The sequence below is a fragment of the Homo sapiens genome, chromosome 22, assembly GCF_000001405.40.
Source record: "Homo sapiens chromosome 22, GRCh38.p14 Primary Assembly".
Lineage (NCBI taxonomy): Eukaryota > Metazoa > Chordata > Mammalia > Primates > Hominidae > Homo > Homo sapiens.
This window is the reverse complement of record NC_000022.11, coordinates 37,189,035-37,201,579: the sequence shown is the minus strand read 5'-3', so window position 1 is coordinate 37,201,579 and position 12,545 is coordinate 37,189,035. Positions and strand designations below refer to the sequence as shown.

Genomic DNA, 12,545 nt, shown 5'->3' with positions numbered 1-12,545 from the left:
GGTCAGGAGTTTGAGGCCACCCTGGTCAACATGGTGAAACCCCATCTTTACTAAAAATACAAAAATTAGTCAGGCATAGTGGCATGCGCCTCTAATCCCAGCTGCTAGCTAGGGAGGTTGAGGCAGGAGAATCACCTGAATCTGGGAGGCAGAGGTTGCAGTGAGCTGAGATCACGCCACCGCACTCCAGTCTGGGCAACAGAGCAAAACTCCATCTCAAAAAAAAAAAAAAAAAAAAAAAAAGTGGAGATTCAGACACAGACAGGCACCCAGGAGGGAGACGCCATGTGAACATGAAGGTAAAGATCAAACAAGGCATCCGCAAGCCAAGGAACGCCAACGATTACCAGCGCAGCAGAAGCTAGGAGCAGGCCTGAAACAGCTCTTCCTTCCCTTGCAGCCCTCAGAAGGAACTAGCCCTGCTGAGGCCAAGCCTGGACTTCTACCCCCAGAACTGTGAGACAATCAGTTTCTGTTGTTTAAGTCTTCCCAGTATGTGGTGCTTTGTTAAAGCAGGCCTAGCAAACTCAAAATTCCTACTTGCAAAATGGAGATAATGGCCCCTTCTCTCCTGGGTCTCCCAGAGGACCTGTTGGGTTAACCCATTCATTCCTTCAAACTCTCCAACAAGGTCCAGAGCTTGGTGGCCAAGGGCTGTTTTGGGTCTGAGCCAGATCCAAAACACAGTTCCTAGTCCAGGGCCCATAGTTTAAAAACAAAACTATGAAAATGGGGGCTGAGTGGACGGGAGTGATGCTGGGCGTGGGGAGAGCTCTGAGGCCACTGGTGTCCCTGGTGGCCATGGCAGACAACACCCTCTGGGAAGACCCAACAGGCAGAGGGCAGCCCAGGCCCCATGGGGACCTTGGTTCCTCCCCAGAATCCCAGCAGGCCTCCAGCAAACCTCACAGCAGCGTGCACCACACTGAGGGGTGAATGACGGGCACACATGAGTGCACACCTGTGTGTGGAGGGTGAGACAAACCTTCATTTTCTCATAGGCTCAAAAAAAGTGCCTGGGCCGGCTGGGCGCGGTGACTCACGCCTGTAATCCCAGCACTTTGGGAGGCCGAGGCGGGCGGATCACGAGGTCAGGAGATCGAGACCATCCTGGCTAACATGGTGAAACCTCGTCTCTACTAAAAATACAAAAAAATTAGCTGGGCTTGATGGTGGCACGTGCCTGTAGTCCCAGCTACTCGGGAGGCTGAGGCAGGAGAATCGCTTGAACCCAGGAGGCGGAGGTTGCAGTCATCGGAGAACATACCACTGCACTCTAGTCTGGGTGACAGAGCGAGACTCCATCTTAAAAAAAAAAAAAAAAAAAGGTGCCTGGGCCACACTCAGGGTCCCCTGGGGTCCCAGACACCTCAGGTTCTGGCTCACACTCTCCTGGAACCCACATCCTCTGTCACCATCTTACAGGTGGAGAAACTGAGGCCTACGGTGGGGTGGGGTGTATCGGATCCTAGCAGGGGAAGAGCTGGGATGTGGCCTCTCCACCCTCCTGTCCGCTTTAAAGGCCAGCAAATGTGTCAATATTTGCTCAGGGGAACTGCTGGCTCAACAGGCCCCAGAGCCTGCCTGGTGTCTCCCTCTGTAAGATCAGGGGTTGCCTCTGAGCTCCAGCCAGGACCCTGCGCCTGCTCTTCAGAAGGGAGGGGCTCTCCCTGTTGGGCCTTATCAAACGGCAGCTGCCAGAGGGAGAACGGAACAAACGCACGATGCCCATTACGTGGTCGGCAGTGAAAGGTGAGCTCCTGGCCACGCAATCGGGTTTGAACCCCAGCGCCACTGCCTCTTAGCGCTGAGTGCCTTTGAGCCAGCCTCAGAACCTCTCGTAGACTCAGTTTCCTCATCCGAAAAAATGGGCTCCCACGCCCATCTCAAAAGCCTGTCGCAGGGCTGCGGGGACGGCTGGAGCGTGGCTCTGTGCTCCCCAGGCCCGGCAGGGGGCGCCGCGGGTCCTCAGGCCTCGCCCAGTAGCCGCGTGGTATCCGACCCGCAGCTCCGCTCGGCTGGACTCGTCTCTATTCGGCGACCCTTGGCTCCACTCGGCCAGGCTCGGCTCTACTCGGCTGTATTCGGCAGCACTCGGCCAGACTCGGCCTTGTTCCGATCTGCTCGGCTTCGCCCTACGCCGGAAGTGCAAAGGCAGTTTCCCGGCGCGGCTGTGGCTCCGCCCTCCGGGCGCGAGGCCCGGGTGGGCCAGAGAGGCAGGTCCTCGTCCCTCGGGCCCGTGGCGCTGTCGTGGATGTAGGGGTTCCGCTTGCCTGGGCCCTGGGCTATGCAGAGGGAGACACGAACCAGGGTTTGAGGGGGAAGCGGGTGGAGAGGGAGGGGCTCCCCGAGCCTGGCGTGGGGGCGTCTTTCGCCTTCGTTTTGCAGGGAGAAAGGGAGAGGTTGGCGCCAGCCGCACGCCCCAGCAGGCAGGCTCTGCCACTGTTCTGTCGTGTCGGGGGAGGAAGTTGCTGCCCCTCAGTGTCCCTGAGTCTCGGTTTCCCCTCCAACAATCAGCAGGTTTCCCGCCGGGGCAGAGGGCCTGGCGCGGAGCTGGCGCTCTCCAGACTCAGTTTCCCCTTTTGTAAAACATGACAGCCCGCCCAACTCCGCTGAACACCTTTGGGATCCGACGTCCTGAAAGCCCAGGACGGGGAACCTGGTTCCGGAGAGCGAAACTTTCCCCGGCCCCTGGGCGGTTCAACGTGGGGGAGTCGGTAGAACCAGGCCCGGGGCTCTCCTCGTGGGAGGAAGCCGGTTTGTGTGTGGGGGGTGGGGGTTGCTGCGGGGACTGCGGGGGTTTGGAGGAAGAAGCGAGTGCATGGGCGCCCTGGCCTGCCCCAAAGTTCCCTGAGGGGACGGGCTGGTGGGACGGGCGGGGGCCGGGGACCGGGGAGCGGGGAGCGTCCCGGGTTCCCGGGCGCGGGGGCTCTGCCCAGCAGGAGGCGCTCGCGTCTTCCTTTGTTGAAATTGATCTCTGCGCTTGAACAGTTAGATCTGTGACTTGCCACTCAGAGCCTACATAGCGGACGCCAGGAATCATGTTTACTGTCCTGTCTCCCTTTTTGACAGGCACACATTTTATTTTTTAAATACATGAAGCGCGCCGTGCTTTGTAAGCGCTGACTGAATGTGCCTATTTTCACACCCTCTCCTGACCCTGGGCTGGAACGTGGGCGAGTGCAGGATGGTGGCCAGGGGCTTGGCTCTTGGTCAGTATGTGCCTCATCTATCTCGTCTGTAAAATGGACAGACGAGGTAACACGTGTGCCTACGTCAGAGCATTGTTGGAAGGATTAGAGGAGTCAAGATATGGAAGGCCCACAGAATGGTTGGGGAGAAAAGCCAGCTTCTGGAGGCAGGGGAAAGGGTGGGGAGTGGCTGGGGAAGCAGGGCCTGTACCCTGGGTTTCTGCATTGGGGTTACTCCTTTGCTGCTGGGAGTGATAGCAGGGTGATGAGAGCCACCCTGGGCCTGCGCTCCTCCTGGTCATGCTGTTGTCCTGGGTCCCAGGGTGCCTGGGAAAGGGCACACAGCTTTACTGATGGGTGGCCAGTGGGGAGTGCCCCCATCGGGCATTCCACCAGTCGGCCCCGATGGTCCTGGCCTCCTCATGTTTATCTGGCCCAGGGACACCAAGGCTCAGAGAGGTAAACTTGCCCGAGGTCACACAGCTAGGAGGGGGAGCTGAGTCATCACCCAGGTTTGTCTGCCCCAGGGCTGGAGCTCTGTTTTCAGGCCACCTGACCAGCTGAGGAGATCGTCAGAAAGGCTGGGACACCAACGGATGACGCACAAATGGAGGAATTTTCAGGCACGGTCAAAGCTAATGGGAGGGAAAATACTGAAGTGTAATATTCCAGAGTTCTCTCTTGTCTGCTCTGACTCCTGCCAGCTGCCCTGCACCTAGAGGGACAGGAGGCTCTTCTCCGGGGCATTGCATGGCCGGGAGCCAAATGAGCTGGCACCAGAACCTGGTGAGTTGCCTGGCTTTTCAGACCTCAGCCTCCTCACCTGTGAAGTGGGTTGAACAGCTCTTCTCTGCAGAGGAGCTGTTGAGGGCGGTATGGAACACTGCCAGGCACACAGTTGGCCCTTGACAAAACCATTGCTGTGTCCCCAGCCTGTTTCTCCCCAAGTCCCATTGATGGTTCTCTCTATCCCTGTTTCCTCAGAAGGTCAGGTTTTCTAAGCCCGAAGGCTTGGAGCCAGGCAGGAGCTGTCTCCCTCTCCAGTGCTGCCGACTCAACCCTTTTCCCTTAGAAGCAGGGAGGGAGGCTCCCCTTGGCTCCCTCCCTCTGCAGCCCTGGCTCTGCGCCCTGGGAATGCTGCCTGGGGCAGGGCCACGTAGAGAGCAGGGCCAGTGCAGGCCTTTGGGTGTTCCCAGTGGCCAAAGTCCTTTAGTCTGCTTTCCTTTGGGCCCCCTTGCACCCCTGAATGGATGACCTGGGGGATTCCAAGTCGGTTTGGGAGGGGTGACAGCACAAGGCTGGAGGTTGGGAGAGTCTGGCTGTCATCCCAGCTTGGATTGTAGTCTGCCATGTGACCTTTGGGCCAAAGATAAATCCTCCCTGGGCCACAGTGTCCCTGCTGGTCAGATGAAAGAATCAGATGAGATCATTTCTGAGGATCTTTCCAGGCTTCATATTCTTCTGTTTGATTATCCCCCCAAATAAATTGGAAATTGGAGGCCCAAGGATGAGCCCTGGTTGAGGACGCAGAGCCCAGGGGCCGTCCCATCCTCCACACTTGGCCCAGCTGTGAGTGGGGGAATGGGATTTAGCACCTGAAGCCCCAGATTTAAATATATCCCCACTCCCCGCCGGGGTCCCCGCACTCCTGCACCTCCCTCCTCCCAGGACGGCCCTGACCTGCAGGCATTGTTCCCCGCCCATGCCCAAGCCCCGAGGGAATTCCATCGGGTTGGAGAGTCTTCCCTTCTGTAGGGGGCTTTGCTCCTCTCTACCAGTTATGTGACCTTGGGCAAGTCACTTCAGCTGCCTGACCCCAGCTCCCTAGGACTAGTTGAAGTAATGGATATAAACACCCTTTGGGGACCAAAAGCCCCTAGAGAGATGAGACCTGGCCCAGGCAGTAAGTCTTCAACAAATGTAGAATAGGAGGATGCTGTAAACAAGCCAGCCAAAACCCACCAAATCCCTTGGTGGAGGATAAGGGACATTTGAGACAGTCTTTATACAGGAGTCTCGGGCCCCAGGAAGCCAGGGCAGAGAGTCTTTGCCAAACTTCCCCCTGCCTAACAAGAAGGAAACTGAGGCAGGACCCTGCCAGACCCAGAGGCAAACAGGCTGCCCTCCTGTGAACTTGTTGGGGGTCATTTCCACAAGGGAATAGTTCTAGAAGACCAGGGTGAGTCAGTAACAATGGCAGAATTCCAGTCAGAGGAAGAAGACTTTGGTGTAGCTGGGGCTGGAGCATAGAGGAGCGACTTGGCTGCCGCCCTGGCCCTGTGTCAGAGGTGTTAGAACCAGAGCCACTCCATCTTGAGTAGGAGCTGGGTAAAATAGGGCTGAGACCTGCTGGGCTGCATTCCCAGGAGGTTAGGCATTTTTAGTCACAGGATGAGATGGGAGTCGGCAGGACTGGTATCATAAGATACAGGTCATAAATACCCTGCTGATAAACAGGATGCGCTAAACAAGCCGGCCAAAACACACCAAATCCAAGATGGTGATGAAAGTGATCTCTGGTCATCCTCACTGCTCATTATACACTAATTATAATGCATTAGCATGCTAAAAGACACTCCCACCAGCACCATGACAATTTACAAATGCCATGGCAATGTCCAGAAATTACCTTATACGGTCTAAAAGCGGGAGGAACTCTCAGTTCTGGGGAAATCTCCCCTTTCTTGGAAAACTGATTAATAATCCACCCTTTGTTTAGCATATAATCAAGAAATAACCATAAAAACAGCCAACCAGCAGCGCTCAGGGGTGGTCTGTCTATGGAGTAGCCATTCTTTTGTTTCTTTACTTCTCTGTAAACTTGCTTTGACTTCACTCTGTGGACTCACCTCAAATTCTTTCTTGTGCGAGTCCAGGAACCCTCTCTTTGGGTCTGGATTGGGACCCCTTTCCAGTACCATTTTTTCTAGTGAACCACGAAGGGACGATACCAGAAAACACCCTCAACCCAAAGGAAATAGACTACAGCCCCAATTGGCTGACTTTGGGTAAGTGAGGGATATTTTATTCTGGGTAATGTATGGATTTGGGTTAGGTTCCCTCCTCAGAAATAGGGGGTTAAAGGCCCCTCTTAGTGAAGGGCAAAGATGCTTATCAGAAATTGGGTTAGAGGCCCAAATGAAGAAGGTTGGAGTCCTTAGGGAGTTAGAGGTCCCCCTCGGTCATGTCCCTTGGTAAGGAGAAATGGATTAGGCACTATGGGATATTAACCACTATTCTCTTTTCATTAATCTGCCTTGCACTGTTTGCTGACAGCTGTGAGTGACAGGATTAGGCACGTACAGGATCATGGGACATGGGGAGCTTTCTTCTCCCCAAAGGGGGAAACTTTAGAGATGATGAGATTGCTGGAAAAGATACCTTTGCTACTGACAAGCGACCTCCTGAACTATTGATCCAGTGTCAATGGAATGGAGGCCTCTGGCCTCCCTGAGCTCCTCAGCTTCTCCACCCCCCGGCAGGCAATGCTTTTCTTCCTCTCTCCTTTCTCTTTTCTATCTTTTCTGTCACTCAGGGTGACTCTCCACTCTTCCATCTTGCCCAGCTACCATATGTTGAAACTTCTGGTTGGAGGGCATTCCACCTCACTTGGAGTGGATCAAAGATGACAAGGGCCATCGGGAGCAAGTTTGAGCCTTGCCAGGTTGATGTTGGGCACTGAGTGGGGTGGCTAGTCTCCTGGAATGGAAAATGTTAATTTGGTTTCCCCATGCAGCCTGTTGGACAGCATCTTACAAAATTAAGAGGCTTTTGCCTGTGGTTCCATGAAATGGAAAAAGACGATTTTCTTTTGTAACGTGTCTTGGCCCCCATAGCAATGGCACAGTAAGCAGGGCCATCAAAGCCACAGAGAGAAAGGGAACCCAGAAACCTGGCATGCTGGCAAAGGGTAAGAATTTCTTACCAGTCAGGCTTCTGGCCTCTCTTGGTGCAAACTGGTTGAATAAATGATAAAAATCACTGTTTGTCTCTCCTGCAAGGAATTTGATTAATACGAAAAAGAATTCATGGGGGCTAGTCTTAAGCTTTAGAAAATCTGGTGTACTTAGTGCTATGAATTTTTCTTTCTGTGTCAGTCTGTCATAAAAAGAGGTACTATAGGATAGAATGTGGGCCTAGGACCCATATAAGCCCATTATTCAAGTTGGCCCAGCAAACTCGTCAGTTACAAACTTGGCGGCAGGTCCCTGAAACAAAAACTAGATGAGGTTTCTGTCTTGTCTTTTTTTTTACGTCCTTGCAAGTTTAACCTTGTGACCGTGTGGGAGTACTTTCTCTTAGTCTCCACCATCCAGACGACAGGAAGCTGGGGCTTCATGTGATAGCCCTAAAAATTGTCCTGAGCAGTTAAAAGCCTTTGCACGCTTGAAATTGGCTTCTCTGGGCTCCTTCCAGGAAGGAAAACAGAAACTGTCTAGTGCCGTGGCTCAGTAGCTAAGGCTTTGTCTCTTCACACTGGGGACCCAGGTTCAATTCCCACCTTAGGGAATGAGTCCTTTCTGGTTTAATATCTATGTGACCTTTGCCATTTATTCATTTTCTTCTCCATAAACAGCTTCTGACTTCTCGTTTGAATTTTCCTTTCTCTGCACTACCCTTGGCGATTCTAGATCTCGTAAAAACTGCTTATCACCTCTTTGAAAATACCTTGTATACCTGGGTTAAGTGCTAACCTTAGTTAAGGCTTACCGGTTTCACCTGGGAGGTTACTGTTAGTGAAGTTCAAAAGCCAGAAATATTGGCTGTTTGTCCCGGCTAGAGTCTGGTAACAAGATTTGGTTAAAAGTCAGCTTAATTAAAAATGGATATCCAAGCTATACATATATTTAAAAGGCCTTTATGCTTTTTTTTCTCTTCTTGGCTCTTATTTTTCTGAAAAATTTTTTCTTTTCAGTCGACTTAATTTTTTTCCCCATTTTGTCTTCTTGCCACTCTTGATGCCCCACCTGAGAGGACCTAAGATAAATTTTAATAGCCTGGGACTTCTCAGGAAAAAAGGAGGTGCTACAGACCCTGTTTTGGGAGAAACCTCTGTTCTCCTCATGGACACCCCCAGGAATTGAAAGCAGATAGACCACTCTCAAAATCTAAGGCTCTGCTCTGTTTTGTATTGTGTTATCTGACAGTTTTGACTTTTGGGGATATCAGAAATTACTTTGCATTTTAAGAGAGCTTTTAGCCTTGCTATGTAATAACTAGGTGGGGAATACACTTTTAGGGATGGCTAATGGCAGTTTTGTGGGGATACTTGGCTCTTCGCACCTTTGGATCAGAAAAGCATGCTCTTGGCCACCTAGAAAGTATGGAAGTGTCCCCACCCTCCATTGAAAGATAAGACTGCCATGGGGGATGGGCTGATTCCCTCTCTTTGGGATCCAGGATCCAATATAAAAATGAAACCCTTAATTTTGGGGTTCTGTTTTGCCTTCCAGCTGTGCCTGCTTATTAGGCCTTAGAAACTGCAGGCTTTCCTGGCCCTGTTTCTTGAAGGGCTCCACCCTGAAGTCAGTAATCCAATTAAGAAACTTAAAAATTGGCAAATGAAAAATCTTACAACTACTGGATCTTCTGTCTGTGTATTTATATATGTTGTGTGTGTGATGTTGATATATGAAAGAGCTCTGATTAATTGGCTTAAAAATAATAAGTACTTAAATCAAATATTTTGTCAGAAAAATAGAAACATTAATGCCTTTTGGTTCACATGACTTTAATAATCTTTGGGAAATAGAGACAGTTTTAAAGATTATCAGTAACATTAAAATATCTTCAAACTTTAGACATTTGGTCTAAATTAGGCAGGTCAGATTTTAGGTTTGCTAAATGCCTCAAGGTCATAAACTGCATCATTGACTTTTGAAAATTGCCCAGCTTACCTGCTTTGGGGCCATTAGATTCTAGATAAGGCCTGGGGACTTGTCGAGTTAGCCATGCCCCCAGCTATGCTGGAAAGAGTCAGACCTTATCTGCACTTCTGCAGATAAGGCTGTCCTAGGCTCCACACCTGGAATATAAGTAAAACTGCTTACTTACCAGGTTTTTCACCAAAAAATAAAAGTTGCTAAGAGTTAACATCGTAATATGTTATATGTAATTGAGACTACTAGAGAAACAGTTTTATATGCAAGGTGTGTAAGGAAAATTGAATATGCTTTTGGTAAGAAGATTATAAGAAAGCATGGGAATGTGGACTTTCCCCCTACTTTAGAGGGTTAAAGGATTGTTTCAAGTTAGGTAGGATAAAGCTGAAGGTTTGAGCAAGTTATGGAAGGTTTGTGAAAGATTAATCTTGTAAAAGAAATTCTGTGTGAACTTATTGGCTTAAATTAAAGGGATATTATTCAGTTTTTCCATAAATTAAATATGGAATAAAAGTATAACAAGGTTTTCTTAGAGCACTGGTATACTCTTTAACAAGAAAATTGTAAAGAGCTATAAAAGGTTTATGAGACTCTTACCTCATGGTCAAACATTAAAATTGGATAGAGTTGTCTATAAGGCTTTATTATGAATTGGGTTTGACATTAATAGTACACAAATGCAAAGGTAAAATTTGGCTTTCTCTCTTGAACAAGTTTTTCATGTAATATTGAAAAATAATTAAAGATTTTTGTTTGCCTTTTGAATAAGCTATAGAAAAAAGAAAGGAACGAAAAGAGACAGTTTTTTTTGGAAAGCTAAGTCTTCCCTTTATCGGTGAGTAAAGGTTTTTGCCCTTAAAAACATCTTTGAGTTATCATTTTGGCCAAATAAATGACTTATGGTGACCTGGGATGCTATTTTGTAGTATCAAATGTTTTAAATTTTTGATATTTGACAAACTTTCCAAAATCAAATTCTAAGTTATGCCTTTTTCTAACCTGATTAGTCCTTTAGATATTAGGTCCCCTAAAGTCCAAAAATGACATATTTGGCTTATTTGGTACATTAAAATAATACAGGAAGCATTGTCAAATATGAAATTGTGTTTGGCTTTCTTTGGGCTGTGTTTATATAAATATGTTATTGGTATGTGTTCCAAAATTATGGGAAACTCCTATAATTCTGATATGAACATTATCAATACTAATGGACATTATCAATAATAATTATAATTGTTATGATGTTAATTTATTATATGCCACAGAGGTATCCACATTTCCTAGTCAATGATATTAATTCTTTAACCATGACTGCTCTAAGTCTTTCTGTCATCCATAGACAATTGTTGTCTTGCTTTTATTCTCTTCAAAAGGTGGTTTATAATCAGCTATAGGACTCTGATGAGTACTCTTAAATGCAGAGAAAAAGAAAACATCATCCAAGACTCTTGGAAAACTAACACATATATATCAAGCAAAACAGGAATTAATTGCATAGACTGAACTAATAAAAGACTGAAATAATCTTTTATGACTTTTTGCTTAAAATGTTGTTGATCTTTCTGTTTTGTTTTTCAGAGTCAAGAAACCCCCCCTTCTTGAGCTATTTACAGCTTTTAACAATTGAGTAAAGTACGCTCCGGTAAGGATTATAAAACAAAGTTTTGTCCAAAAACAAAATTTGGAATATGTTTTTTTCTCTTTACCTGATTTCTGCAGAATTTGGAAACTATTTGTGAGTGTTCTTAACTTACGGCAATATAGTTATTTGCATAAGTGCAGTAAGAATCTGTTTTTCCTTCTTTCTTCTTTTTTTTTTTTTGTAACAGGACACAATTGGAGAAACTGGTTATTTAACAAGGGTTTGACTCGAGTGGCATGCTTTCAAATATAAACAGACTTCTTTAAGGAATTAAAGTTGACTAATAGAGCCAATAAAAGCCTCTTGGAAAAACTGGTCTTGTACCTTGTGTATGAAGTCCCTGTATAGGGTTCCTGACCTGTGGTAAGTAAAGAATGTAACTTTCTGACAGGCCTGGGAGCCCCGAGTTATCTCGGGACCTCAAGAGGAGAGGAATTTATCTAACTCATACAGGTTCTTGCAGGCATAGGTAAATCCATGGCTGGGCTCAAAGCTTTAAAACATCTAATCTAAGATACCTTATGAAACAAAGCCAATTTTAAAAGGAGCCTGTATGGCAAATAATTATACTTGCTGCACTTTATGCAAATAATGAAGCCAAGTATAATAAGACTAAAGCTTATTTTGCAAATAAATTGGTCCTACCATGATTTGTTTTTAATAAAAAATGGGAGACTGGAGAGAGAAAAACGGTGTTTCAAAAAATATGGTACACCTGTCATAGATTCTAGTCTCATCCATTGTTTTTGAGTTTTTTGTCTGCAATTTAGACTGACCTTGCTTCTTTCTGTGAACCAAACAGTCATCTCTTGACTGCTTCTCGTCAGAAACAAGAGGGATGGATAACATAAAAATCTGGATCAGTATCTAATTCTGAGCATGTATTGGAATCGTCTAGCAACTCCGTATCAGCTCATCTAGCAATTCCTGTGACTAAGAATGCCTAACCTCCTGGGAATGCAGCCCAGTAGGTCTCAGCCTCATTTTACCCGATAAGTCACAGGCATTCTTGCCCAGTTCATGGAAAGCCTTCTTATTTGGATTACTTGGGATAATTTTACTTATTTTACTTTGCTGTTGTAGAATATATTGCTGCTATACTCTTTGTGTAAGAATGCAAGATAAGCTTACTCAGTGCTTCCTTAAATTGAACACATTAATCTTCCAGATATCACCTTTTGTTAGGACTCAGAGTTACAAATGACTCTGAACACACCAACATTTTCTTACTCAGTTCCTCTCTGCACCAAACCCAAGAGACTCTAATAGTTAGGCAGGAATATCATCGCCTCTATTCAGCCTGAAGAAGTTACAGAAGATGGATCTTCATGCCTCTACAACCCTTAAGATTAAACGTTCCCTCGTAAAAGAGAGTAGGGAAATATGTCAGAGGTGTTCAAAATAGGGCAACTCCATCTTGAATAGGGGCTGGGTAAAATGAGGCTAAGACCTGCCAGGCTGCATTCCCAGGAGGTCAGGCATTTGTAGTCACAGGAAGGGATAGGAAGTTGGCAGGACTGGTATCACAAGATACAGGTCATCAAGACCCTGCTGAGAAACAGTATGCGGTAAACAAACCAGCCAAAACCTGCCAAATCTAAGATTGCAATGAAAGTGACATCTGGTCATCCTTATTGCTCATTGTATGTTAATTAAAATGTGTTAGCTTGCTAAAACACACTTCTACCAGCACCAAGACAGCCTACAAATACCATGGCAATGTCCGGAAATTACCCTATATTGTCTAAAAGGGGGAGGAAGCCTCAGTTTCAGGAAATTCCCACCCCTTTCCTGGAAAACTCATGAATAATCCACCCCTGTTTAGCATAG

General features: G+C 47.3%; 1 protein-coding gene across 8 annotated transcripts in view, besides 8 other annotated features; it reads left to right on the top strand.

Moving 5' to 3' along the window:
• Positions 501-550: an enhancer, noted in NCBI's record as "active region_18948". NCBI's record gives its function as "activates an Ori minimal core promoter by ATAC-STARR-seq in GM12878 lymphoblastoid cells {active_cell/tissue: GM12878}" and the evidence as "EXISTENCE:reporter gene assay evidence [ECO:0000049][PMID:35858748]".
• Positions 571-660: an enhancer, noted in NCBI's record as "active region_18947". NCBI's record gives its function as "activates an Ori minimal core promoter by ATAC-STARR-seq in GM12878 lymphoblastoid cells {active_cell/tissue: GM12878}" and the evidence as "EXISTENCE:reporter gene assay evidence [ECO:0000049][PMID:35858748]".
• Positions 1,850-2,029: a silencer, noted in NCBI's record as "silent region_13681". NCBI's record gives its function as "represses an Ori minimal core promoter by ATAC-STARR-seq in GM12878 lymphoblastoid cells {active_cell/tissue: GM12878}" and the evidence as "EXISTENCE:reporter gene assay evidence [ECO:0000049][PMID:35858748]".
• C1QTNF6 (C1q and TNF related 6) overlaps positions 2,157-12,545 on the top strand; it is a 19,258-nt gene continuing 8,869 nt past the window's right edge. For 2 of the 8 annotated variants that reach the window (XM_011529857.3, XM_047441111.1), the window contains exons 1-2: positions 3,882-6,199; positions 10,652-10,715. The gene's annotated coding sequence lies outside the window, so the exon portion shown is untranslated. Of the gene's footprint in view, positions 2,312-3,718; positions 6,200-10,651; positions 10,716-12,545 lie in introns of those variants that run through there. The other 6 variants (XM_047441114.1, XM_024452153.2, NM_001365878.1 and 3 more) reach the window with 6 other exon arrangements.
• Positions 2,732-3,301: an enhancer, noted in NCBI's record as "H3K27ac-H3K4me1 hESC enhancer chr22:37594319-37594888 (GRCh37/hg19 assembly coordinates)". NCBI's record gives its function as "activates a minimal SCP1, AML or CMV promoter by ChIP-STARR-seq in naive H9 embryonic stem cells {active_cell/tissue: H9 hESC(naive)}" and the evidence as "EXISTENCE:reporter gene assay evidence [ECO:0000049][PMID:30033119]".
• Positions 2,820-3,049: a silencer, noted in NCBI's record as "silent region_13680". NCBI's record gives its function as "represses an Ori minimal core promoter by ATAC-STARR-seq in GM12878 lymphoblastoid cells {active_cell/tissue: GM12878}" and the evidence as "EXISTENCE:reporter gene assay evidence [ECO:0000049][PMID:35858748]".
• Positions 3,302-3,872: an enhancer, noted in NCBI's record as "H3K27ac-H3K4me1 hESC enhancer chr22:37593748-37594318 (GRCh37/hg19 assembly coordinates)". NCBI's record gives its function as "activates a minimal SCP1, AML or CMV promoter by ChIP-STARR-seq in naive H9 embryonic stem cells {active_cell/tissue: H9 hESC(naive)}" and the evidence as "EXISTENCE:reporter gene assay evidence [ECO:0000049][PMID:30033119]".
• Positions 11,690-12,323: an enhancer, noted in NCBI's record as "OCT4-NANOG-H3K27ac hESC enhancer chr22:37585297-37585930 (GRCh37/hg19 assembly coordinates)". NCBI's record gives its function as "activates a minimal SCP1, AML or CMV promoter by ChIP-STARR-seq in primed H9 embryonic stem cells {active_cell/tissue: H9 hESC(primed)}" and the evidence as "EXISTENCE:reporter gene assay evidence [ECO:0000049][PMID:30033119]".
• Positions 12,324-12,545: part of an enhancer, noted in NCBI's record as "OCT4-NANOG-H3K27ac-H3K4me1 hESC enhancer chr22:37584661-37585296 (GRCh37/hg19 assembly coordinates)", that runs on past the window's edge. NCBI's record gives its function as "activates a minimal SCP1, AML or CMV promoter by ChIP-STARR-seq in naive and primed H9 embryonic stem cells {active_cell/tissue: H9 hESC(naive and primed)}" and the evidence as "EXISTENCE:reporter gene assay evidence [ECO:0000049][PMID:30033119]".